The sequence below is a fragment of the Homo sapiens genome, chromosome 20 (genome assembly GCF_000001405.40).
Source record: "Homo sapiens chromosome 20, GRCh38.p14 Primary Assembly".
In the NCBI taxonomy this organism is placed as follows: Eukaryota; Metazoa; Chordata; class Mammalia; order Primates; family Hominidae; genus Homo; species Homo sapiens.
The window spans coordinates 52,181,567-52,207,211 of record NC_000020.11 but is presented as its reverse complement, the minus strand read 5'-3'; the positions used below and the strand labels follow the sequence as shown (position 1 = coordinate 52,207,211).

Genomic DNA, 25,645 nt, shown 5'->3' with positions numbered 1-25,645 from the left:
CACTATTGTGAAATAGCTAGTATTCCATCTATAAAAATTTCACTGGACTCGCAAGCCATCTGCATTATCACAAGAAATCCCAAATACCAACATTTGTCAAAGAAAGAAAAGAAGATGCTTGCTTGTAAAGCCTTTAAATAAAATGTTAGCATTGGGAGTTTCTGAAAATATGTTTCAAAAATTAGTTTTGGCGAGGTGCAAAGACTCATGCCTGTAATCCCAGCACTTTGAGAGGCCAGGATGAGAGGATCACTTCAGTCCAGAAGTTTGAGTCCAGCCTGGGCAAGATACTACCTCTATTAAAAAAAAAAAATTAAAAATTAGCCAGGCATGGTGGCATACATCTGTAATCCCAGCTACTTAGAAGGCCAAGGTGGGAGGATTGCTTGAGCCCAAGGATTCAAAGCTACAGTAAGCAATGGTGGCACTACTGTACTCTAGCCTGGGTAACACATCAAGAACCTGTCTCGGCCGGGCATGGTGGCTCACACCTGTAATCCTTACACTTTGGGAGGCTGAGACAGGTGGATGATCTGAGGTCAGGAGTTCGAGACCAGCCTGGCCAACATGATGAAACCCCATCTCTACTAAAAATACAAAAAATTAGCCAGATGTGGTGGTGGGTGCCTGTAATCCCAGCTACTCGGGAGGCTGAGGCAGGAGAATTGCTTGAACCCAGGAAGTGGAGGTTGCAGTGAGCCAAGATTGCACCACTGTACTCCAGCCTGGGCAACAAGAGTGAAACTCCATCTCAAAAAAAAAAAAAAAAAAAAAGAACCTGTCTCAAAAAAATAAAAAAAATAAAAAGTTTTATATTTTTATGTAGCTTCTTTGTACTAATAAAGCTTTTCGTAGATAATGCCCATCAAATATGTGGCCAGGTCATCATTAAAAAGGCCTGAACAGAAATTGCATGTAGTTGCTTTAAGCATAAAATCTGACACAGGAAAGTTCTATCCATGAAAGCAAATTCAAGTTTCTCATGTAAAATTAAAAAAAAAAATGTTTTTGTAAAAATGCATTACTTCTTTCTAAAACTTCCTATTTTATTTTTTGTATTTTTTATATTTTAAGAAAACAACATACAGAAGTATGATTAATTTCTGTGAACAATGTCCATATCAAAGTCCCAAATTTTCTGCCATTTACCCCAGTGTGCTATACAATTGTTATCATTTTAATTATGTGTCCCAGTGGGAATAAGTTTGGGGAGAACTGTCTTAAATTCTAAGGCCATTTATTACAATATTTAATGAAAAATCAGAAGGTAGGTGGTCCTAGAGTGAATTCAGTGGCTCAGCACTGTCAGCAAGAACCCAGTTTCTTTTCATCCTTCTACTCCACCGACCTCAGCGTCCCAGCTTCCTCCCAAGTCCTGCGGAGGATGTCTACCACATGGCTGCTGCCGCCTTGGAAACCAGGTCTACCATGGCAATGACCAGACCAGAAAGGATGGAGGTGGGGAGGAGGGCAGGCAAGGGCTTTCTTCTCACATGCCTCTTTCTTTCCAGGAAGGAAAATCATTCTCAAAAGCCATCAGGAGATTTCCTCTATGTCTTATTGAGCAGAACTTGGCCCACTGGGAGCCCAATCACTGGCCAAAGGAAATGAGATTGTCATGTATAGTTTACACTGAGGCTGGGCACAGCCCCAGCCAAAAACTAGTCCTGACCAATGTAACCAGTCTAAGAGCTCCAATAAACCCAGTCCTCTCCAGCTACTGGAAGGACTGATGGCATATGCATCTTGAGGCATACCCAAGAAAAGTTTCAGGTAAGATGCTTGCTGCCAAAGGTGTCTTAACTGAAACAGACCAACAGATCAACCAATACAATACACTGTGGTAAGTACAGACCAACAAATCAACCAATACGATACACTGTGGTGAGTGCTGGAATGTAGCCACACTTAGGGATCTAGGGAGGGGATCCCAAATCAGTCTAGGCGATCCTCAAAGAGGTTCCATATAAGGCAGTTCTTCAGCTCAAATGGAAGCAGTAGACATGATCCCAGGAAATCAAATGGGAAACAGAATTTCAGATGAGAAATAGCACAAACTACATGGTACAGAAGCTGGGAGGAGCTTCAAAATAATTCAGTACAATAGGAGATAATGGCTATGTCTGGGTGACATGATCACATTTGTGACCCCTGTGATGGGAGATTGTGATTAATATTATGTGAAATAGTGGGAAACTATTTCCCCCAAAGGAAATCATAGAACAAAAATCCTGTTATCAGAAGTAGGAAGGGGATGCCAGACTGACGAAATAAAAAAAAACAAAAAAAAAGTCCACGAGAGGCTGGATGTGGTGGCTCACACCTGTAATCCCAGCACTTTGGGAGGCCAAGGCAGATGGATCACTTGAGCTCAGGAGTTCAAGACCAGCCTGGCCAACATGGTAAAACCCAGTCTGTACTAAAAATACAAAAATTAGCTAGGCATGGTAGCGGATGCCTGTAATTCCAGCTACCTGGGAGGCTGAAGCATGAGAATCACTTGAACTCAGGAGGCAGAGGTTGCAGTGAGCCAAAATCACAACACTGCACTCCAGCCTGGGCAACAGAGCAAGACTCTGTCTAAAAAAAAGAAAGGAGAGAGAGAGAGAGAGAGAGAGAGAGAGAGAGAGAGAGAGAGAGAGAAAAGTCCACTAGAGTCAGCTAAATAACAATTCTCTGAATTAAAACCTAGCTCCACCGATCTCTATATGTGCAAAAGTAGAAAACCCTTTCTGTGGCAGAGACAATTATCTATCAAAATTTGCCACACCTTTAGCGTAGTTTTGTAGCTGAGAAGCTGCTTCCCATCCAGAGGCTACATTTCCCAGCCCTGCCCACCTGCTTCCATGATGGACCATGTGACTGGATTCTGCCAATGGCACTTAAGCAGGAAATAGATGTGTGGCAGACAAAGCCTGTAGGAAGTGAGTGGCCTTCTCCAAGCCAAGCCCCAAGGGATGACAGAGCCATAAGACAGAAGGGGTCCGGGCCTTTGATGGAGAACCTCCTACTGACGGTAACATCTCTCTCAGACTGTTGAGAATGAGAAATACGTTTCTATGATTTTGAGCCTTTCTACTTCGGGGACTATTGATTTTTAGTAGCCAGTGTGGCCCTTACTAAAATCCTTCTTAGGACATCTTAATGAAAATCAAACACAATTGTATCAAATACTTATCTGAAAGTATTTGATATCTGATACTATTTGTATCAGATACGTTGTATCAGAAAGTATCAGATAAGGCCAGGGGCAGTGGCTCATGCCTGTAATTCCAACGCTTTGGAAGGCCGAGGTGGGCGGATCAGGAGGTCAGGAGATCAAGACCAGCCTGGCCAACATGGTGAAACCCCATCTCTACTAAAAATACAAAAATTAACCGGGCATGGTGGCGGGCGCCTATAATCCCAGCTACTCGGGAGGCTGAGGCAGGAGAATGGCTTGAACCCATGAGGCGGAGGTTGCAGCGAGCCGAGATCGCACCATTGCACTCCAGCCTGGGCAACAAGAGCAAAAAACTCCATCTCAAAAAAAGAAAGTATCAGATACTTTCTGAATAGGCTAAGCGTTTGCATGAATAATGAGCATTTAAAACTAATCATCATTTCAAGATTTTTTCCAACCCTAAACCCTAAAAGAATCCAATGTTTTCATTGGAGCGTGCTGGGTGAAGGGTATATGAGAAAACTAAACTATATTTGCAACTTCTTGTGAGTCTTAAAACTATTTCAAAATGAAAAGATATTTTTTAAAAGTACTCAAACATTTTTAAACAAAATTTTAAAAATTTCTATCAATAGCTTTGGACTCCTGTAAGAAGGAAAGGGCCTCTGTTTCCCCTCTGTAAAATGAGAATTAGATTAGTGGTTTTCAAACCACAGTATCAGGAGGTGTTTCAACAGTTCAGCAAAGGTCTGATTTGAATTTCATCTTTAACCTGTAATTAAAACCATTTGAAAGGTCCGGGCCTTTGAAGGAGAACCTCCTACTGACGGTAACACCTAGCTCAGACTGTTGAGAATGAGAAATACGTTTCTGTGACTTTGAGCCTTTCTATTTAGGGGACTATTGATTCTTGGTAGCCAGTGTGACCCTTACTAAAATCCTTCTTAGGACATTTTAATGAAAATCAAACACAATTGTATCAATACAATTGTAAACTCATACCCACAAGTGTTACATTCTAACTTCTAACACATGGGGGCTCCCAACAAGTTCACTTAAACTTTCAGATGTGCTCTTTGGCATTCAAACTTTGTAACAAAGTGTCCCCTTTGCCATATCTGCATGGTACTTGCACCTCTTCTGAGTCAATAATTACAAATTGTTAGTAATTTGTTGGAGGTGGGTGTTAAGTATGTGATTTTGTTTATTTAAATTCAGATATGCAAATTAACCCTATGGAAAACCATATTTTACCCATCAGATTGATAAAAAAAATCAGAGGCTGGATAGCACTTTGTGTGAGTGAGGCTGTAGGAAACAGGTGCTCTCATAAGATCTTGGTAGGAGTTCTACGCAGTACAACCCCATTGAAAGTGTCAAAATGTTAAATGCACCTTTGACCTAGCAATTCTATTTTAGCAAGTTAGTCTACAGATAGACTCTTTCATGTACAGATACAAATATAGATATTCATTACAGCTGTGTTTATAGTAATCAAAAACTAGAAACAAAGTGTCCATTAATGAGTTGCTTAAATTTTAGTATATGTGTACATGTACTATATATACATATATGTATATATTACATGTATAATATACGTATATATGTATACATATATACGTATATTTTCACATGTACAGTGAAAAACTGAATTTTTCCTAAAGCAATGAGGCAAATCTGGATGCACTGATAAGCAATATTTTTCAAGATACATTGTTGTGCAAAAAAGCAGGGTATAGAATGCTATTTGCATTAGAGTATAATTTGTTTGTTTTTTTTAAAAACTAGGGGCGATGAATATGTGTATGTCTTTTTGTATATATGTCAGAAAGTTCTGAAGAACAACCAAGAAACTGGTAACAATGTTGCTTTCTGAAAGAAATTAGGGGCCGGGCGCGGTGGCTCACGCCTGTAATCCCAGCACTTTGGGAGGAGGAGGCGGGCAGATCACGAGGTCAGGAGATCAAGACCATCCTGGCTAACACGGTGAAACTCCGTCTCTATTAAAAATACAAAAAAAAATTAGCCGGGCGTGGTGGTGAGCGCCTGTAGCCCCAGCTACTTGGGAGGCTGAAGCAGGAGAATGGCGTGAACCCGGGAGGCAGAGCTTGCAGTGAGCTGAGATCATGCCACCACACTCCAGCCTGGGCGACAGAGCGAGACTCCGTCTCAAAAAAAAAAAAGAAAAGAAAAAGAAAGAAATTAGGGGGCTGGGGAAGGTTGAAGAGACATCCACTTTTCACTATATACCCTTTCGTGCTGTTTGAGAATTTCTGCGTTGATGCATTAACTATATGAAAGAACAACAAAAAAATCAGGCCTGTGCATGCTTGCTTGTGTGAAATTATCCAAGCAAGTATATTATTAAAACACAGGTGTGCACACTCAGTTATGTGCCAGGCAAGACTCAAAGCCAGCTCTCATCAAAATGATTGATTGTGTAACTACCACTTAATGCCCAGCAGGTTTAGTCTGGATCATATCTCATTACAGAGAGTTTAGCACTTAAGTTAAATTTCAAGGGTTTCTTCATTGTCTTTTATGTTTACATAAAGGATTGCAGGCAGTTGCTAAATATTGTTAGTGAATCAATTTTTGGAAGAGAAATTTCCCTTAGTCCCCTTCCAATATTTGGGATCAGGATTCAGTGACAGTGACATCAGGAGGAGCTCGCTGGAGTCACCTGAGGCATCTCTCCATGCTGTGCATGTCTGGACCAGAGGCCCCAAGATTCTGTCCCAGGCCCCCTAGATGGTGCCCAAGCATATGTGTCCTCAACAAGTTCCCTTAAAATCTGAGGCACACTCCAGGTAAGAATCACCCGTGGTGTGTCCAGAAAAGCAAGAACAAAAGTATAATCCTTGCAAACTTTAATACAGCTATGTCAGTCAGGGACCAACCAGAGAAAGAGAAGCAAATCTAACAATTTCAGTAAATGTAACACAGGGAATTTGATATCCAAGTGATGCAAGAGCTGAGAAACCAAATGGGAATGGTTAGGCAACCCAGAGATTAGCAACACCTGGAAGCCACTGCCTTTTCTCTCCAGGGAAGGTGGCAGGGAGAGAGACAAAGGGAGGAGGTGGTGTTTTCAGGGACCACAGTCACCCGGCAGAAGGTGAGGCCACAGTGGGCCCATCCTATAGGATCTAGGGCCATGGAGGAGACACAGCCACTGCCACCAAGATAGACGGGGAAGAGGAGAAATACTCTGCCTTCTCCCTTCCACCCCTCAGCCAAACCCTACAGGAAGCTAGAAGCCCCCAGAACCCTGGATACAAGAAACAAGGGTCAGCGTCCCTGACAAATAGCAGAATCAAGGGAAGAATCACAGAGCAACAGCCTCTGGACCAGACCACCAGCCTTCGATAAATTTATCATTGAAACCTTAGCCACAATTTTCTGTAGTACTTTCTAAGTGGAGAGGTTGTCGACATAAGTACTTTTGAAAATGCCAAGCCCCAGGATACCCATTGTTGTTAGCCCTTGTCTAGAAAAATAAAGGAGGTTTAAAAATACCAGTTATCATAAAGTCTAAATGGAATCTATAATTTGCTGTATTCTGTTATTAGGTCACATTTTTCTCCGTGTGTTTACTAAAAAGGAAAAAAATGTTTTCCTGTAATAGTTAAATGTTTGCTTTAATAGTTATATTCTGAAGCCATCTTGACAAAAGGCACATTCATTCATTCGTCAACATATCCGTCCAACCTTTTCTAAATACCATGCATTGTTATAGGTGCTGGTACACAAAGAAGAAAATAAAATTTCCTGCCTTGAGAATTGACATTTTACTAACTATGAATGATTACTATAGGAAACTATGTATGTTAAAATACTGTTGAAAAAATTTTGGTCACTTGAAATTAAAAACTACAGACGATTCCTAATGTAAAATAGTACAGTTGATGATTGTTCAACTTTACAATGGGTGTGAAAGTGATACCCATTCAGTAGAAACCCATACTTTCCATTTTGATTTTTTATATTTTCCTGGGATAGCGATATTCAGTGTGATACTCTCTCATGCTGCTGGGCAGCACCAGTGAGCCATTCTGTTTTTCACTTTCAGTACAGTATCAAATAAATTACCTGAGGCATCCAACCCTTTGTTATAAAATAGGCTTTTTTATTTTATGTATGTATGGATGTATGTATGTATTTATTTTTGAGGTGGAGTCTCACTCTGTCGCTCAGGCTGGAGTGCAGTGGCACGATCTCGGCTCACTGCAACCTCTGCCTTCCGGGTTCAAGTGATTCTTGTGCCTCAGCCTCCTGAGTAGCTAGGACTACAGGTGTGTGCCACCACGCTCAGCTAATCTTTCATATTTTTAGTAGAGATGGGGTTTCACCATGCTGGCCAGGATGGTCTCAAACTCCTGACCTCAGGTGATCCACCTGCTTCAGCCTCCCAAAATACTGAGATTATAGGCATGAGCCACCACACTTGGCCAAAATAGGCTTTTGTAGATGATTTTGCCCAACCACAGGCGAATGTAAGTGTTCTGGGCATGTTTAATTTAGGCTAGACTAAGATAGGGCATTTGGTAGGTTAGGTCTATTAAATGAATTTTCAACTTACAACATTTCCAGCTTACAATGAGTTTATCAGGATGTAGCAAATCATACATATGCTGAACAGCATCTGTATATTGTTAGGAGAAGGATATATTTGCTCGAAAACTTACAGTAATTAATTCAGTTAATATGTCCTCATTATTCTTGTTATCAACATTACCAGACCCCCCCCTCCAAAAAAACCTGCGTGTTCTCTTAATACTTTAAGAAAGTATCTGAATATCTCTTGCCAGAAATAATTTAAGCAAGTGAATAATTCTAATAGATTGATTTTAAAATACTGTGAAAATCTGTTCTACAGTTTCTGTTACTTGCCATCAGTGATTCTTATTTATTTATTTATTTATTTATTTATTTAAATTTAGAGACAGGGTCTTGCTCTGTCATCCAGGCTGGAGTGCAGTGGTGCCATCACAGCTCACTGCAGCCTCAACCTTCTGGGCTAAAGGAATCCTCCCATCTCAGCCTCTTGTGTAGCAGGGACTACAGGTGCATGCCACCACGCCCAGCTAATTTTGATATTTTTTGTAGAGACAGGGTCTTGCCATGTTGCACAGGCTCGTCTTGAACTCCTCGCCTGCTTCTCGAAGTGCTGGGATTACAGGCATGAACCACCATGCCTGACCAAAGATTCTTAACTAACGTACTTTTATTGGTCTTTTGCCTGAAGAAAATTTATTTAGGCTTTATGAGACTCAGTTTCTGCATCTATGAAATAGTGATAATAGTGTCTACCTCTTGACTGTTGTTCTGACAGTCAAGAATAATAAATTACATCAGGCATCCAACACTTTGTTATAAAATAGGTATCCAACACTTTGTTATAAAATAGGCTTTTTTATTTTTTTATTTTATTTATTTGGACATAGTGGAGGTAATGTAAGTAACTTAGTGAAGCCTTTTAGTTAACAGAAACATTGAAACCATGGAGACGGAGAAGTTCTTTTTTTCTATCAGAAACATGTTACAAATTTTGGTTAAATTCAACATGGCTCACAGAGGCAACGAATGATGGAAACTGATTCTCAGCCTTGTTATCAAGAATAACAGGGAGGAGTGGGGACTGGGGTAAATCAGAGAGGCTGGGCTTCATCCACAGGAGCTTCTCCGGCCCAGCCAAGGGTTACCATTTGACAGTCCAGGCCCAGATTTGCCAGATCCTTCCATTTTTGCAAAAAGCTATAAATCCCAATTCTTATGAGAAATACATCAACTTTTAAGCACTGGTAACAAATTCAAGTTTATTTTAGTTGCCAGATTTAGAACATGGAGTAGGATTACCAGTATGTCTGCACCCTGCAAGACATTTGCCATTTCTATATTATATTTTATCTATTAAATGAGAAGTGGTCAAAAACTTGAGAACAGAAGAAATCGTGAGCTTTCTAGTCAAACAAAGGCTGTTAACTTTTCAAGAACTGTGATTCTTACTGAGAAATAGATCTGGATAGAATCCACATTGAAATAAATAATCTGAAAAAAGGAAGAAAAAGCCCTTCCACATGGTGTTGAAACAAGTTATTCTGGCAGCTCTTCAGGATGGCTGGCATAGAGAAATAATGTGTTCGCACGGGCCAATTAAAAAAGCTACTATGGTGTATTACTTATGATATCTAAAAAATCATTAACAGCAGGGCTGTGGCTGACGCCTGTAATCTCAGTACTTTGGGAGGCCGAGGTGGGCAGATCACAAGGTCAGGAGTTCGAGACCAGCCTGGCCAACATGGTGAAACCCCATCTTTGCTAAAAATATAAAAAATTAGCGGAGCGTGGTGGCACATGCCTGTAGTCCCAGCTACTTGGGAGGCTGAGGCAGGAGAATTGTTTGAACCTGGGAGGCAGAGGTTTCAGTGAGCTAAGATCACGCCGCTGCACTGTAGCCTGGGTGACAGCGTAAGACTCCGTCTCAAAAAAAAAAAAAAATCATTAACAAACATCCAGTAACATAGCAAATAAATTATGATGCAACCCTATAATGAAATATTATGTGACCATTAAAAAATGGTAGGGAGCAGAGGTTTGCAAGCACCAAGTGCTGATTGAACAACCCAAAAAGTCTGTCAAGCATACAGATACCCAGGCCTCATCCCAATCCTTCTGAAGGAGAGGGGTTAGGATATTTAATAATTTCTCGGGTGATTCTAATGCAACCCACCAAATCAAGATCAAAAGCCAATTGTGGAATAGTTTGCATAGCATTGTGTTAGAATAAGATTTGATTCAGGTGCATGTGAAAGAAACATTCCCCCACCCCAAATAACAATAGCTGAAAAAAGTGCATTTCTCATATATGATGTCTGGAAATAGGCAATCCAGTTGGAAGTTCCACAAAGAAGTTAGGGGCCTGGGCTCCTTCCAGCTCTCTATTCTGCCATACCTAGAGTATCGCCTCATTCTCATAGTCCAAAATGGCAGCTGGAGCTCCAGCCATCATATCCTCATCCCAAGCAAGGAAAAGAGGAAGAGCTAAAGAAGAAGGGACAAACAGCATATGCCAACTGCTATTTTAGGATATTTCCCAGAAGCTGCATCACATTTCATTTACGTTGTCAGAATTTAGTCATATAGCCATGCGTAGCTACAAAGGAAGCTGGGAAAAGTCTCTTTTCAGGAGGCCATGTGCTGAGCTATAAATTAGGAATTGTATTATTAAAAAAATTTGAGGCCAGGCATGGTGGCTCACACCTGTAATCCCAGCACTTTAGGAGGCCGAGGCGGGCGGATCACAAGGTCAGGTGTTCGAGACCAGCCTGGCCAACATAACAAACCCTGTCTCTAATAGAAATACAAACATTGGCTGAGAGTGGTGGCTCACGCCTGTAATCTCAGCACTTTGGGAGGCTGAGGCAGGCGGATCACTTGAGGTCAGGAGTTCAAGACCAGCCTAGGCAACATGGTGAAACCCCAACTCTACTAAAAACAAAAAACAGGCTGGTGGCAGGCACCTGTAATCCTAGCTGAGGCAGAAGAATCTCATGAACCCAGGAGGTAGAGGTTGCAGTGAGCTGAGATTGAACCACTGCACTCCAGCCTGGGTGACAGAGTGAGACTTCATCTCAAGAAAAAAAAGAAAGAAGTATAATATTAATGTTATGAGTACATATTGGTTTGAACCATATAAAATTACCATTTTTAAGTAAAAAATAAATATATCAGCAATTCATATGGTTCATTCTATTACATTTCTACAGAAAAAAAGCCTATAAAGATATAGACATGTAGTACATAAAGATATAAGTATATATCTCTGGTTGGTGAGATCTCAGATAGCCATGTATATTTCATGTGGAGGTGAAAAACATGTAAGCTGTAATTACATTTTTATAAAATATATGAATATGATTTATATGTGTGTGTATGCACACATACAACACACACACAAAAATTCATCAATCAAAATGTTATTTCTGCATAGTGAATTATAAGTGGGTTTTATTTTCTTATGTTTTCCTGTATTTTTTTTTCAAATTCTAACCAACAATTTCTAATACTTTTGCAATAAGAAAAACAAGTATAGGGCAAGTGCAGTGGTTCACACCTGTAATTCCAGCACTTTGGGAGGCCAAGGTAGGCAGATCCCTTGAGGCCAGGAGTTTGAGACCAGCCTGGCCAACATGATGAAACCCCGTCTCTACCAAAAATACAAAGAAATTAGCTGGGCGTGGTGGCACACACCGGTAATCCCAGCTACTCAGGAGGCTGAGGTGGGAGGATCGCTTGAACCTGGGAAGTGGAGGTTGCAGTGAGCCAAGATCGCACCACTGCACTCCAGCCTGGGTGACAGAGCGAGACTCTGTCTCTAAATAAATAAATAAGAGTGTGTTGATCTTGATGGAGCTTATGTTGAAAAATAACATTTTTTAAAAGTATAGAAAGAAAAATAAGAAATGAAAATAGGACATTTTCAGACCAGAAAAAGACTGTTGCAGTGGTCAAGATGTGTAATAGAGAAGGTTGGCTGGACATAGTAGCAAAAGGTTAAAATGGAGCTCATGGAAACATGCATGAAATCATTTCACAATAAAAAATGAACTGAGGATGCCTGTGTGCCAGGCTCTGTTCTAGGCCCCAGAGGATACAGGTAAATAAAATAGGCCAGGTCTATGCCCTCCTGGAGCTTACATGGTAGGGAGACAGATAATAACCAAAAATAATTAAAAGATAATAATAGCTAGGATTTATGCCGAGTTATATGAGTCAGGCACTATTCTAAGCACTTTACAGATATTGATTGGTTCCTCCTACAAAACAGCTTAATGAACTAGGTGCTACTATTATCTCCAAGCTACAGAAAACCGGGACACAGAGCAGTTGAATTTCCTATTCAAGGTTAAGCAACTAATCCTAGTTCAGCAACTCCAGGATTTGCATGGCAGTGGCATAGCCTAACTCCAGGGCCTACACACTTAACCACCAAACCAGTAAGGCCCAGACTTACATCATGATAAGAATTACCTGGGGCACTTTTGAGATATTTGCAGATTACCAAGTCTTACCCCAGAAAATTCTGATGCAGTAAGCATAGCTTGGAACCCAAGAACTCATTCTTTAGTGAGCCTTCCAGATGATGCTTCTCTTCAGGCAAATGTGAGATATATTGCTCTCAACAAAAGGAATCGTGACAATAAAAGTTAGAATGGTGACCTCTGCAAGATTGGATAGTAGGAATAGTATTATTTTATTTATTTATAGTTTTTTGAGACAGTCTCGCTCCATCACCCAGGCTGGAGTGCAGTGGCTCCATCTCAGCTCATTGCAACCTCCGCCTCCTGGGTTCAAACAATTTTCCTGCTTCAGCCTCTGGAGTATCTGGGATTACAGGTGTGCGCCACCAAGCCTGGCTAATTTTTGTACTGAAGAAAATGGGGTTTCACTATATTGGCCAGGCTGGTCTAGAACTCCTGACCTCAGGTGATCCGCCCACCTCGGCCTCCCAAAGTGCTGGGATTACAGACATGAACCACCTTGCCTGGCCAGAATAGTATTATTGGCTGGGAAGGTGCATGAGGGAGCCGACCAGGGCTGGAAATGTGTGTCTTGGAAGGGGACTTCCCAGGTGTGCACATATGTAAACATTCATCAAGCAATAAAAAATAAATATTGCCGTAAGCTGCGGTGCTCTGCTGGGTCATGTTAGCTAGACAGGTATCATGAAGGTGATGTCGCAGAGTCGCAGGGAGAGTGAATACTTTAGGTAAGACATAGGAAAGGTCTCTCTGGGAAGGCGACATTTCATTTGATGCTGGATGACCTAAAATAGCCAGTCCTGCAAAGACCAGGAAAGCAATCCAGGCAGAGGGAGGAGCAACAACAGCAAGGAGCCTGGTGGAGCTGCCTGGGCAATGCAGGGTGAGAGTGGTGTGATCTGCAGTGGGACTGGCAGGCCACAGCCAGTTACATCTAGCTCATTCCTGCCCCAGGGTTTTTGCTCCCACCAGTTCCTCAGGCTGGAATTGCTCCCCCCTCATCCTCACATGGCTGCATCCTCCCCGGCTCCTTGTTCAGATATTACCTGCTCGGAAAGGCCTGCTATGACCAGTTCTACAGCCACTATTACAGCCCCATTTTATGGTCTTTGGAGCCCTTATCACTAGCAAAATGTTGAGAACACATGGACACAGGAGGGGAACATCACACACCAGGGCCTGTCAGGGGGTGGGGGGCAACGGGAGGGAGAGCATTAGGACAAATGCCTAATGCATGTGGGGCTTAAAACCTAGGTGATGGGTTGATAGGTGCAGCAAACCACCATGGCACATGTATACTTATGTAACAAACCTGCACGTTCTGCACATGTATCCCAGAACTTAAGGTTAAAAAAAAAAAAGGAAGTTTTATATATATTTTTTATATATATAAATATATAATATATAATATATAATATTTTATATATAATATATATTGTATATATTTATATATAATATATATATACATAAATATAAATATATATTAAATATATTAAATATTATATATTAAATATATATATATTTACAGTACTGATTTGATTATTTCATGTTGACTGCCTCCCTGGTCTACCTCCAGCAGCTAGCCCAGTGCCTGGCACTTCACAAACACTTGAGAATAAACAGCTGCTGCAGGCAGAAACCAAGCCTTAGAGGCAGCAGCAGGGAAAATCCCATTCATTATACAAGCCATATTTACTAAGCCTACTATGTGTCAGGCACCAGCCAAGTCACTGGACTACATCAGTGAAGCAAAGAGATTTTTTTAATCCCCATTTTTACAGGGACTTACTGAAAATAAGGGGGAGGAGAACACAGATAATATACAACTAAATTATATCTAAGCAGATATACTCGAGATACATAATATGTTCCATCTAACACCTTTTAAGGACAAAGCAGGCCAGGCATGGTGGCTTACACCTGTAACCCCAGCACTTTGGGAGGCTGATGGAGGATCGCTTGAGGCCAGGAATTCGAGACCAGCCTGGGCAACATCTCTACAAAAATAAAAATTAAAAAGTGAGCCAGGGTGGTGGCCCACGCCTGTAGGGGGGATTGCTTGAGCCCAGGAGTTGGAGGCTGCAATGAGCTAGGATCCGACCACTCTTCCAGCCTGAGAGACAGAGAAAGACCCCCTCTCTAAAAAAAGAAAGGGAGAAAGAGAGAGAGGCAGAGAGAGAGAAAGAAAGAAAAGAAAAGAAAAGAAAAGAAAAGAAAAGAAAAGAAAAGAAAAGAAAAGAAAAGAAAAGAAAAAGAAAAAGAAAAAAACAGGAAGGAGACAGGGAGTGGTTGGGGGAGGAGGAGGGGGCTGCAATATTAGAATGATTAGATTAGGCCAAGCATGGCCTCCCTGAGTGTGAATTTGAATGCTGACCTTCAGAAGCAGGACAGACTCTATGGGCAAATCCCTCGAGGCTGGGAGAGGTCTGAGGCTTGGGAGGGTCGGCAGAGAGACAATAGGGCTGACGCAGGAGCCCGGGGGAGACAGTAGTAGTAAGACATGAGGGACAGAGCAGAGAGGTCACTGTCCTCAGAGTGTGGACGCCGACCAACACTAGGGGCATCACCTGGGAACTTAGAAATGCTCGTTCTCACGCCTCGCCCCAGACCTACTGAAGCAGAAACGCTAGGGTGGGCCCAACAGCGTGTGTTCTAACAAGCCTTTCAGGCGACTGCGATGCACGATAAAGTTGGCAGCTCCTGGAGCAGGGGTCCCTCCGCGCTACGACCCCACCTCTTCGCGGTCCTCTCAGTCTCCCTAGCGGGGCAAGGGACCCGCCCAGCGCTTTGCTGATTTGCCCAGCGCTCACGCCCAACCTGGGTTTCTCCGGAGCTCGCCGCGCCCCGCGCACCCACCCCGCAACGGCAGCCGCACGTGGGTCTCCCCGCAAACCACCCAGGCGTCCCGGGAGCAGCGCTGCTGCACGGCCGCGCTGGGGGCCCAACGCCTGGGGTTGCAGGTGCAAAAGGCGCCCCGAGCCGGGGAGGCCAATCGCGTCCGCGGAGAACGCAGAGTGCGGGCAGGGGCGCATCCCTCGCCACCCGCGGTCGCCCAGCACGCCGGGACGCGCGTGGCCATCCAGCTCCCCGGGGGCGTTGGGGGGCTCCGCGGGCCTGGGCCTCGGGATTCGCCCGCCGCTTCCCCGGGGAGCCGCTGCTGCAAAGCCAGGTTGGGGCGCCGGGCCCGGCCAGCGCCCTCTAGGCAGCGGAAGTGCAGCTTGCTTTACATCCGTCCTCCCCGCCTCGCAGAGTTGGGAGAAGGCAGGGTGGGGGGTGTGGAAAAATAAAAGGAAAAGTCCTTGCACCATGTAGATCAGCGTCCCCCACTTTGGCATCCCGGCCGGCCGGGGACCTCCCAGTCTGCGGCCATGAACGCGAGCAGCGAGGGCGAGAGCTTCGCGGGCTCGGTGCAAAGTAAGTGCTTTTCCGGGAGCAGTGCGCGCTCCGGGGCCCAGTGCGCGCTCCGGGGCCCGGGCCCAAGCACGTCTGCGACGCAGCCAGCAGGCCCGGGGCCCCGAAATCGGGGTGACGGCTCGGAGCCGCGTCTCGGGGACCGCGGCGGGCGCGCTGTGCAGGGGGCGCCGGAGTGGGCTTGGGGTGGGGGCGCACCCGACCTGGCGCAAGACCGGGGGCGCTCTCCAGCCTTGCGAGACCCCTTGGAAGGGAACAGTGGGGGAGGGCACGCCGTTCAGACAATCGCCACCCCCTAAGGGCATTCCCGCCCCATCAGGCGGAGTTTGGGGCGGGCAGGAGAAAGGGAGGAATCTAGGGTAAACGGGGCAACACTGATGGGAAAACTTCTGCCTCAGTGGCTCAAAATTAGAGCCTGGAGATTGGGGGAATCACCAGGTCTCACGAGGTCCTGCCGGCTCATTGCAAAGCCTTTTCCTCATTAAGGGTGGAGATCTGAATGGAAAACGGGGCCGTGGTCGCTTTATTTGGGTTTGGGGTTCAGTTTTTATTTAACCGAGGAGGACATCAGCGTTTTTCAAGTCCCTGGTTTCTCCCGGTGCATTGTTTCCCAAAGTGTGGTCCAGAGACTGAGTGCAACCAGCCACCTGGGAGCGAGAGCGTGTATTTTAAAACAGCTTTCTGGGCCCCACCCATTCAATCTCGGGGGTGGGGCTGGGGATCCGCTGTCCTTCGTAGCTGCCTGGGCAACTCTGAAGCACATGAAGTTTGAGAACCCATCTACCAGGGGTTTGCAGAAAATCTGGCACATAGTAAGCTCCCAGCTTGTTAGCTGCTACTGTTAACAGTTTGGGAGACACTGGGTCCCAAACTTGGCGGTGTATTCCTTGCATTACTGTGAAAAGCACAGATTTTCCTAAACACCATCCTCCCCACCCCACCCTGTTATGACTCAGTATCTCCTAGGTGGGGCTCAGATATGTCCATGTTTAAATAGTGTACCTCAGTAAGAACCCAGCAGGTAACATGCTGGGGGACTGGCGGGGAGGGGGGACTGTGCTGGTACGAGCACCATCCCATTTAATTCTCATAACAAGCCCGTGTTTTTTCTTGGAGAAATTAAAAACAAACAAAAACCATGGATTAGAAACCTCTCCTCCCATTTTTCAGATGAGAAAACCCACGCTTAAAGTCACTGTTGTTAAGCGACAGTGTCAAGATTCTAACGAAGGTCTATGTCGTTACTTTTGCACTTTCCACATACCAGTGACATTATCTGTTATGAAAATCCTTTCATTCTGGGTGTCAGTCCTATTCCATCATTAAGGAATCGTCAGCAATGCAAGCTACTTCATGTCTCACTTCCTTGTTTCCTTGTTAGTTCCATGGGTATCTCAGTATCTGCCAGAGAAGAAAAGGTTTCCTTCCTTCCATCCATTGATTGCAAAGTGCTTAAGTGTATCCCTGCAAGATGGCTTATCACAGTGCTCAGCCCAGTCTCCTTAGCAAGTCAACCAAACTGTATTTCTGAACAGAGATTTCTTGTCTTAGCTAGACCTGGGGAAAATTGGACATAATGTAAATATCTTACAAATTTTCAGAAAATTATGAGGCATAATTTTATCTAACCATATATGCACAAAGGTAGTCTTGTATCATTTAACTTGGGAAAAATTGGAAATTATGTAAATACCTTATTGTTGCTGAGAAGATTATGACGCATGGACACCATGGAATAATGTATTGCCATTAAATAATCATATATATATGAAGAGATTTTAATGATATAGCACAATGTTTATGCAATGTTTAGGAAAAAGGGCCAGGCACGGTGGCTCACGCCTGTAATCCTAGCACTTTGGGAGGCTGAGGCGGGCGGATCACATGAGGTCGGGAGTTCAAGACCAGCCTGACCAACATGAAGAAACCCCATTTCTACTAAAAATTCAAAATTAGCCTGGCGTGGTGGTGGCGCTTGTAATCCCAGATACTCCGGAGGCTGAGGCAGGAGAATCGCTTGAACCTAGGAGGCGGAGGTTGCAGTGAGCTGAGATCGTGCCCTTGCACTCCAGCCTGGGCAACAAGAGCAAAACTCCATCTCAAAAAAAAAAAGGAAAAAAATTAGGAAAAGGATTAGTTTTACAATACTATGATCTGAATATTTACAATATTATGATCTTATGCAATTTTTTTTTTTTTTGAGATGAAGTCTCGCTGTCACCAGGCTGGAAGTTCAGTGGCATGATCTTGGCTCACTGCAACCTCCACGTCCCAGGTTCAAGCAATTCTCCTGCCTCAGCCTTCTGAGTAGCTGGGATTACTGGCACGTGCCACCACACCCAGCTAATTTTTGTATTTTTAGTAGAGACGGGGTTTCACCATGTTCGCCAGGATAGTCTTGATCTCTTGTTGTGATCCACCCATCTCGGCTTCCCAAAGTGCTGGGTTACAGGCGTGAGCCATCTTACGCAACTTTTAAGTGTAAAGAAAATGAATGGAAAAAAATATTTTATAATATTCATGGTAGGCAGAGATGGAAATATTGAGTGATTTTCCCCTTCTTTATAAGTTTCTTCTAAATTTTCTTATAAACACGAGTTATCTTTTTTTTTTTATGTGAGACGGAGTCTCGCTCTGTCGCCCAGGCTGGAGTGCAGTGGCACAATCTCAGCTCACTGCAACCTGCGCCTTCCGGGTTCAAGCAATTCTCTTGCCTCAGCCTCTCTAGTAGCTGGGATTACAGGTGTGTGCCACCACGCCGGGCTAATTTTTTTTGTTTATTTTTAGTAGAGATGGGGTTTCACCATGTTAGCCAGGATGGTCTCGCTCTCCTGACCTCATGATCTACCCGCTATGTCTTTATTGAACAAGTATTTATATAGTAGCTTCTAATACAGTGCCAAATACTACACTAAGTGCTTTCCAGGTATTAATATAGTATTAATTCTTGATATGATTAGTATCAAGAAATAATGTCGGCCGGGTGCGGTGGCTCACTCCTGTAATCCCAGGGAGGGATTTGGGAGGCTGAGGCGGGCAGATCACGAGGTCAGGAGATCGAGACCATCCTGGCTAACAGGTGAGACCTCATCTCTACTAAAAATACAAAAAATTAGTCGAGCGTAGTGGCGGGTGCCTGTAGTCCCAGCTACTTGGGAGGCTGGGGCAGGAGAATGGCGTGAACCCGGGAGGCAGAGCTTGCAGTGAGCCGAGATCGCACCACTGCACTCCAACCTGGGTGACAGAGCAAGACTCTGTCTCAAAAAAAAAAAAAAAAAAAAAAAAGAAAGAAAAAGAAATAATGTCCCTGCCAGTTAGGAATGAATTTTGGCTACAAGTAGCAGAAACCCAAATTATACTGGCCTAATGAAATCTGGAATTGATTGATTGCAGTGTTGAATCAGGGAAATCAGTGAAGTAAAGGGCAGAGCCCATAGGGATCTTGGCATTTTTCTCATAGTTACAAGATGGCTGCAGAAGCCCCACCATCACATTTGCATCCAAAGCCAGAAGAAAAGGGGCACATTGCTAGCCACATCTGCTCCCTTTTCATCACAAATGCCAAACTTTTCCCAGAAACTCCTCCAGCTGTGTGCTGGAGAAGTTCACAAGTATGTAGAGGACCAAGATTATTTAGACTATTGGTTCTCATAGTATGTGTTTTGGGTGAGTATGTTTGGAAATGTGCGGGAGGATCAGTTTTCACAATTACCTTTTAGTTGGGATAGGAGGTGGCTGCTGGTTCTGCAAAGTGCAGGACATCCCTTTTATCTTTGATAAAAGAACTTTCTTGCAAACAATGCCACTAGTGCCCCATGGGTAACAATGCAGCGTGAACCATCACATGGATGGTTGCTATACATTATTTCCAATTTTCCCCAAGTTAAATAATACAAGACTACCTTTGTGCATATGTGGTTGGATAAAATTATGCATCATAATTTTCTGAAAAAAAAAATTATTTTTTTTTTGAGACAGAGTTTCACTCTTGTCCCCCAGGCTGGAGTGCAATGGTGTGATCTCAGCTCACTGCAACCTCTGCCTGCTGGGTTCAAGTGATTCTCCTGCCTCAGCCTCCTGAGTAGCTAGGATTATAGGCACACACCACCATGCCCAGCTAATTTTTGTATTTTTAGTAGAGACGGGATTTCACCATGTTGGCCAGGCTGGTCTCGAACTCCTGACCTCAGGTGATCCGCCCGCCTCAGCCTCCCAAAGTGCCAGGATTACAGGCATGAGCCACCGCGCCTGGCCAATTTTCTGAAGATTTCTAAGATATTTACATTATGTCCAATTTTCCCCAAGTTTAACTAAGGCAAGAAATCTCTGTGTGGAAATATGATACCTTGCTGCTAGGGCACAATTAGGATGCAGTTCGCAGGAAGAGGAAGGTGGAGTGGATACTGGGCCACTACCCAGCCATGTCTGCCACCATGCCTTTTCTTCCTACCATGAATCTGGTCTGCATTACAATTCAAAGCTGTTTGGAATTAATCCGTTACTTTCCCTTTGTCCCATGGAGTTCCAGGTGGCACAACGGTGCTGGTGGAGCTGACTCCCGACATCCATATCTGCGGCATCTGCAAGCAGCAGTTTAACAACCTGGATGCCTTTGTAGCTCACAAGCAAAGTGGCTGCCAGCTGACAGGCACATCCGCAGCAGCCCCCAGCACGGTCCAGTTTGTATCGGAGGAAACAGTGCCTGCCACCCAGACTCAGACCACCACCAGAACCATCACCTCGGAGACCCAGACAATCACAGGTACAGCTGGAGCATGGGGGAGTCGGCCAGAATTGGCCTGGCTGTGTCTCAAACACGTCCATGGAACTTGTTAAAAATATAGATTCCCAGAGCCCACCCCCTAGGGTTGCTGATTCATTATTTTTAACAAGCTCCACCAGGAAGCCAGCTGCCCAGCCAGGTTTGGGAGCTGCTAGGTTAAAACATTAACTGTTAGCAGTTATAAATGTTGTCACGTTACAAAAAAAACAGACAAAAAAGAGATTTCTGAAACAAAAATCTATATACTATAGGAAAAAAAAAAGGCTGGCAGAAAATACGTTGCAATAAAAAAAAAAGTGGTTGTTTTGGGTGGTGGAAGTATGGGTACAATCCTTGAGTTTGCATTACTTGTGTAAAGGGCCAAAAAGCATGTTGTTGTTAAAAAAAAAAAATCTATAAACTGGCATTGGTATCTCCTCCCCCTTGTGCTGCTGATCAGGAAAACATCCCTGTTCTCTGTTGTGTACACTCATTCCACCAAAAATAAATTACAGATGGGTCAAAAATTTAAATGTGCATAAGAAAACCATAAAAGTTCTGGAGGAAATGTACCCACAAACACCTACACACACAGTTATACCCCTGTCTTAAGGGGCAGGAAGATAACTTTAAAATTATGAAGTAGCCCATTTATGGGATAGTACTGGATCCTGTAGGGAAACAGAGAATGTATTCCTTAGCTAAAGGCATTTGATTCTAAAAAATATATTAATATGCCTACCAAAGGAGGCAGGTTGTGGACCACCCCCTCCAAGAAAAAGAATCATATATGTGATTGCAAATGAAGTTTTACTTTTTCCGAAGTAAAATGCAAAATCTAAAGACAATCAACTTGGGGAAAAATTTGTGGCATATATGATTAAGGCCTAAATCCCTCTTATACAAAGAACTGCTAAAACCAGTAAAAGGAGATAAAAAGTGCAAAGTGGAGCCTGGACACGGTGGCTCATGCCTGTAATCCCAGCACTTTGGGAGGCTAAGGCGGGTGGATCACCTGAGGTCAGGAGTTCTACACCAGCCTGGTCAACATGGTAAAACCCTGTCTCTACTAAAAATACAAAAATTAGCCGGGCGTGGTGGCAGGCGCCTGTAATCCCAGCTACTCGGGGGACCAAGGCAGGAGAATCGCTTGAACCCAGGAGGCAGAGGTTGCATTGAGCCGAGATCGTGCCATCGCACTCCAGCCTTGGGGACAAGAGCCAGACTTCGTCTCAAAAAAAAAAAAAAAAAAGTGCAAAGTGGAAAGGTCAGTGGATGATTTACAGGGGAGGTTTGGTCACCTTAGTAATTACAAAAATGTAAATCAAAACAAGGCTTGAGGAAGGACACTGATTTCATTTTCTGGGGATATAAATTCTTATAACCAGGGCAATTTTGTGATAGCTTTCAAATCTTAAATTTAAAATTTCTTAGTTTTAAAATATACATAAAGACATTTATCCAATAAGTCTACAGCTAGGTATTCATTCTATAAAACTTCATGAACAGGCCAGGCACGGTGGCTCATGCCTGTAATCCCAGCACTTTCGGAGGCCGAGGCGGGTGGATCACCTGAAGTGAGGAGTTCATGACCAGCCTTGCCAATATGGCAAAACACCTTCTCTATGAAAAATACGAAAACTAGCCCAGCGTGGTGTCACGTGCCTGTAATCCCAGCTACTCGGAAGGCTAAGGCAGGAGAATTGCTTGGACCTGGGAGGCAGAGGTTGCAGTGAGCTGAGATCGTGCCACTGCACTCCAGCCTGGGCAACAGAGTGAGACTCTGTCTCAAAAAAATAAAAATAAAAAACTTCATAAACAAATGTACAAGGATATTCATTTACAGCATGTACTATAGAGAAAGTGGAGCCTTTGTATGTATACGTCAAGAGAGAGTTAGGTATGGCCAGGTGCAGTGGCTCACACCTGTAATCCCAGCCCTTTGTGAGGGCAAGGCTGGAGGATCACTTGAGGCCAGGAGTTCAAGACCAGCCTCGTCAACATAGCAAGACCCCACCTCTACATTAAATTTTAAAAATTAGCCAGGCGTGATAGCACACACTTGTAGTCCTAGCTGCTCAGGAGGCTAAGGCAGGAGGCTCGCCTGAGCCCAGGAGTTTGAGGCTGCAGTGAGCTATGATCGTACCACTGCACTCCAGCCTGGGTGACAAATGAGACCCTGTTTCTTAAATAAAATAAAAAAGAGGGATTTAAACAAATAAATATCAAAGATTCCAACAATGGAATATGACTTAGCTTTGGAAAGGAGGAAAGTTGGATCTGTGTGTAGTCACAGAAAGATTCTCAAGGTAAGTATAAAAAAAATACATATGCCTACATATTATATGGTCTTATATTCCAGGGAAGTTTCTAGAACAGGGATGGGGCGGTAATGTAAATGAGAGAAGTTATCTTTGGGGGAGGTGTTAGAGAGTGGTGGGGACTGTGGTGAAGTAGAGAAATCACACATGCCTCATCCAAAAGTGCAGCTGTTCTTTGGATCCAGCCAGTTAGATATTTCAGTTTTTCAGAGAAGCTGAAAATGTGAAATTTTCCAAATATAAAACTTTGTTGCCAAACAATACATCTCTGAGCCTGACTGAGTCCATAAGTTTCTTCTAGCTTATTCTCAGAGAATGTTTACCCAATAGTCTGGAGCTGAAGAGTGAGGAGCATCAGACGTCAGGGCCAGGCGCAGTGGCTCACACCTGTAGTCCCAGCACTTTGGGAGACCGAGGCGGATCACTTGAGGTCAGGATTTCAAGACCAGCCTGGCCAACATGGTGAAACTCATCTCTAGTAAAAATACAAAAATTGGCCAGGCATGGTGTCACTCGCCTATAGTCCGTGCTACTTTGGAGGCCAAGGCACGAGAATCTCTTAAACCCAGGAGGCAGAGGCTGCAGTGAGAGTGCCACTGCACTCCCCACTGGGCAACAGAGTGAGTGAGATTCCATTTCAAAAAATAAAAAGGAAACCAACTTTCCCCTTATGAGGTATCTACTAGGGTGATGTTTGAATTTTTTTGGCAATAAGCAAAGTTTTGTGGGTTTTTTTCTTAATGCATCCAAAATAATGTTTCTACTGAGTTTTTTAAACAGTAGACATTTTGAAATACAATAAAACTGATCCCCTCACAAACCTTAACAAAAGTATGTTGAGATCTTCCCACTGTCTCCTGAGTTTATCTTCATTCCCATCTTAAAGGAAGTCACCAAGAAAAGGTGAAAACCAGAAAACCCTTAAAAGTGGGCCTGGTAGGACCTAATTATTTTGCACCAGGACCAAGCAAAGTTGCCTTTGGGGAAGGGACATGGCCAAGGTCCCATCGGAACTTCAGGACAGTCCTGGGACATGTGTTTTGCCCCTTATCGTAGTGGTCTTCTTCATGAGGACAGTGTTTCCTTTCTTGTCCTCGAAAACCAAAATCCCAGAACCTCTCACAGTGGATGGGAGCCATATAAAAATGGATGCCCTGCGTGTGGGAGGCTTCCAGGCCCACACTTTTTACTTGGGGCCATTGCTTCTTTCTGGGCTCTGAGCCTTCGTGGATGCTTTTTCCTTTGCCTGAAATACCTTTCCCACCTTGGCCTGGCTGATGCCAACTCAACCTCAAGGCCTTAAGTTTCATGACAATCTTCACAAAAAAGGGTCTGCATTCTTCCTGGGGACAATCCCCTTCTCTCCCCTCTATATTGCAGCAGCCATGATGAACTCCTTTCTGTTTCTGGAATGAGCCACATTTCCTCCAGGCTCAGACCTTGCCTGCATTGTTCCTTCTGCCTGGAACTGCCTTAATTCTTATGTCAGAGCTGGACTTAAAGGCATTTTCTCAAAGACCCCTTCCCTGCACGTCTCACTCTTTTCCCAGATCAGGTCATGTCCCATATTTAAATGATTAATAGAGGAATGACTTTAAGGTGTATCTCCATCACTGACCTGTAAGCCCCTCTCCTGTTCACCACTGGATCCCAGCACCAAGGCACTTATTATTTCTTGGGTGTGAACACTGCTCACATCTCATATGCATCAGTAAAGCTGACCTCACAACCAAATAGCGGCTCCCTTTTTTGTCCTCCTAGTTTTTTTGCTTGTTTCTTTGTTTTGTTTTTTGAGACAGAGTCTTGCTCTGTTGCTCAGGCTGGAGTTCAGTAGTGCAGTCATGGCTCACTGCAGCCTTGATCTTCTGTGCTCAAGCAATCCTCCCACCTCAGCCTCCCAAGTAGCTGGGACTACAGGCCTGCGCCACCATATCCAGCCAATTTTTAAATTATTTATAGAGATAGGGTTTTGCTATGTTGCACAGGCTGGTCTTGAACTCCTGGGCTGAAATGATCCTCCCATCTTGGGCTCCCAAAGTGCTGGGATTACAGGCATGAGCCACTGCACCCAGCACTTCTATTTCTTTGTTCAAAGAAGTTCACCCTCCTCTTAGCATTTACACGGCCCTGCGACCATTGGATCTTGCCATGCCGGAGTTTTGTTGACTGTCCTGAATGCTCAGGCCAGTCCTGGAGTCCTGTTTGTGCCTGGCACACAGAGCCCTCCCCTGCACAGTGCTGAAGGGAGCCACAAGCTCAGAGATAGACTGCTGGACTCGCATCCCAATCCACCACCTAACAGCCCTAGGCTGTGAGCAAATCATTTACTCTCCCTCTCACTAAACAGTCCCCATCTGTAAAAAGAGGTTATAATACCTAATCATCATTGCGTTATTGTGAGAATTCTGCGATAATCCACATAAAGGGCCTGAGATGGAGAAATTGGGTTCAATGAGCGATCGCTTTTATTAATGTAGAGTCTAATAAACAGGTGGCGAAAGGATGGTGAGATCTGCAGCTTGCGTTGTCTCCGTCTGACTCAGCTGCTCCTCCTGATGGTTCCTGCCTCTGTGCCAACTAAACAAGCAGAATTCTGCTTTCTTTTCTTTTTTACACTTATTAGATTGGTTTTCTGGGTGCAATTCCTCCTATTGTGCTTCAAGTTTCCATTGACTGGCAGTTCCCAGACCTGCCTATGGACCAAGATCCCCTGGGAGCTTGTTAAGGATACCGGTGCCCGGGCTCCACCTCCTGAATCTGAATGTCTGGAGCCGAGGCTCAGGTATCTGTATTTTTAACAAGCTCCTGGGGGATTCCGGATCTCAGCCAGGTTGGAGAATTATTCACTGCTCAAGACCACAGTCCAACCCCCCAAATGGTGGATTTCTGCAGATATCCTCATCTGGACATTTTCCAGACTTGTTTGTCCTTGCTTAAGCCAAAC

The 25,645-nt window shown here is 44.0% G+C and overlaps 1 protein-coding gene across 9 annotated transcripts in view, besides 6 other annotated features; it reads left to right on the top strand.

The window, feature by feature from the left end:
* Positions 3,400–3,593: a silencer, noted in NCBI's record as "fragment chr20:50820158-50820351 (GRCh37/hg19 assembly coordinates)". NCBI's record gives its function as "represses an EF-1alpha promoter that drives an FKBP-Casp9 reporter gene in an ReSE screen in K562 erythroleukemia cells {active_cell/tissue: K562}" and the evidence as "EXISTENCE:reporter gene assay evidence [ECO:0000049][PMID:32094911]".
* Positions 14,552–14,681: an enhancer, noted in NCBI's record as "active region_18118". NCBI's record gives its function as "activates an Ori minimal core promoter by ATAC-STARR-seq in GM12878 lymphoblastoid cells {active_cell/tissue: GM12878}" and the evidence as "EXISTENCE:reporter gene assay evidence [ECO:0000049][PMID:35858748]".
* Positions 15,092–15,361: a silencer, noted in NCBI's record as "silent region_13045". NCBI's record gives its function as "represses an Ori minimal core promoter by ATAC-STARR-seq in GM12878 lymphoblastoid cells {active_cell/tissue: GM12878}" and the evidence as "EXISTENCE:reporter gene assay evidence [ECO:0000049][PMID:35858748]".
* The window catches only part of ZFP64 (ZFP64 zinc finger protein), a 107,769-nt gene continuing 97,556 nt past the window's right edge, over positions 15,433–25,645 (top strand). For 4 of the 9 annotated variants that reach the window (XM_047440285.1, XM_017027945.3, XM_017027946.3 and 1 more), the window contains exons 1-2: positions 15,433–15,621; positions 20,147–20,380. In XM_047440285.1, coding sequence (XP_047296241.1) covers positions 15,576–15,621; positions 20,147–20,380 — 280 coding nt within the window. In that variant the 5' untranslated portion in view covers positions 15,433–15,575. Of the gene's footprint in view, positions 15,622–20,140; positions 20,381–25,645 lie in introns of those variants that run through there. The other 5 variants (XM_017027947.3, NM_199427.3, NM_022088.5 and 2 more) reach the window with 2 other exon arrangements.
* Positions 15,722–15,961: a silencer, noted in NCBI's record as "silent region_13044". NCBI's record gives its function as "represses an Ori minimal core promoter by ATAC-STARR-seq in GM12878 lymphoblastoid cells {active_cell/tissue: GM12878}" and the evidence as "EXISTENCE:reporter gene assay evidence [ECO:0000049][PMID:35858748]".
* Positions 15,722–16,578: an enhancer, noted in NCBI's record as "H3K27ac hESC enhancer chr20:50807173-50808029 (GRCh37/hg19 assembly coordinates)". NCBI's record gives its function as "activates a minimal SCP1, AML or CMV promoter by ChIP-STARR-seq in primed H9 embryonic stem cells {active_cell/tissue: H9 hESC(primed)}" and the evidence as "EXISTENCE:reporter gene assay evidence [ECO:0000049][PMID:30033119]".
* Positions 20,175–20,676: an enhancer, noted in NCBI's record as "NANOG-H3K4me1 hESC enhancer chr20:50803075-50803576 (GRCh37/hg19 assembly coordinates)". NCBI's record gives its function as "activates a minimal SCP1, AML or CMV promoter by ChIP-STARR-seq in naive H9 embryonic stem cells {active_cell/tissue: H9 hESC(naive)}" and the evidence as "EXISTENCE:reporter gene assay evidence [ECO:0000049][PMID:30033119]".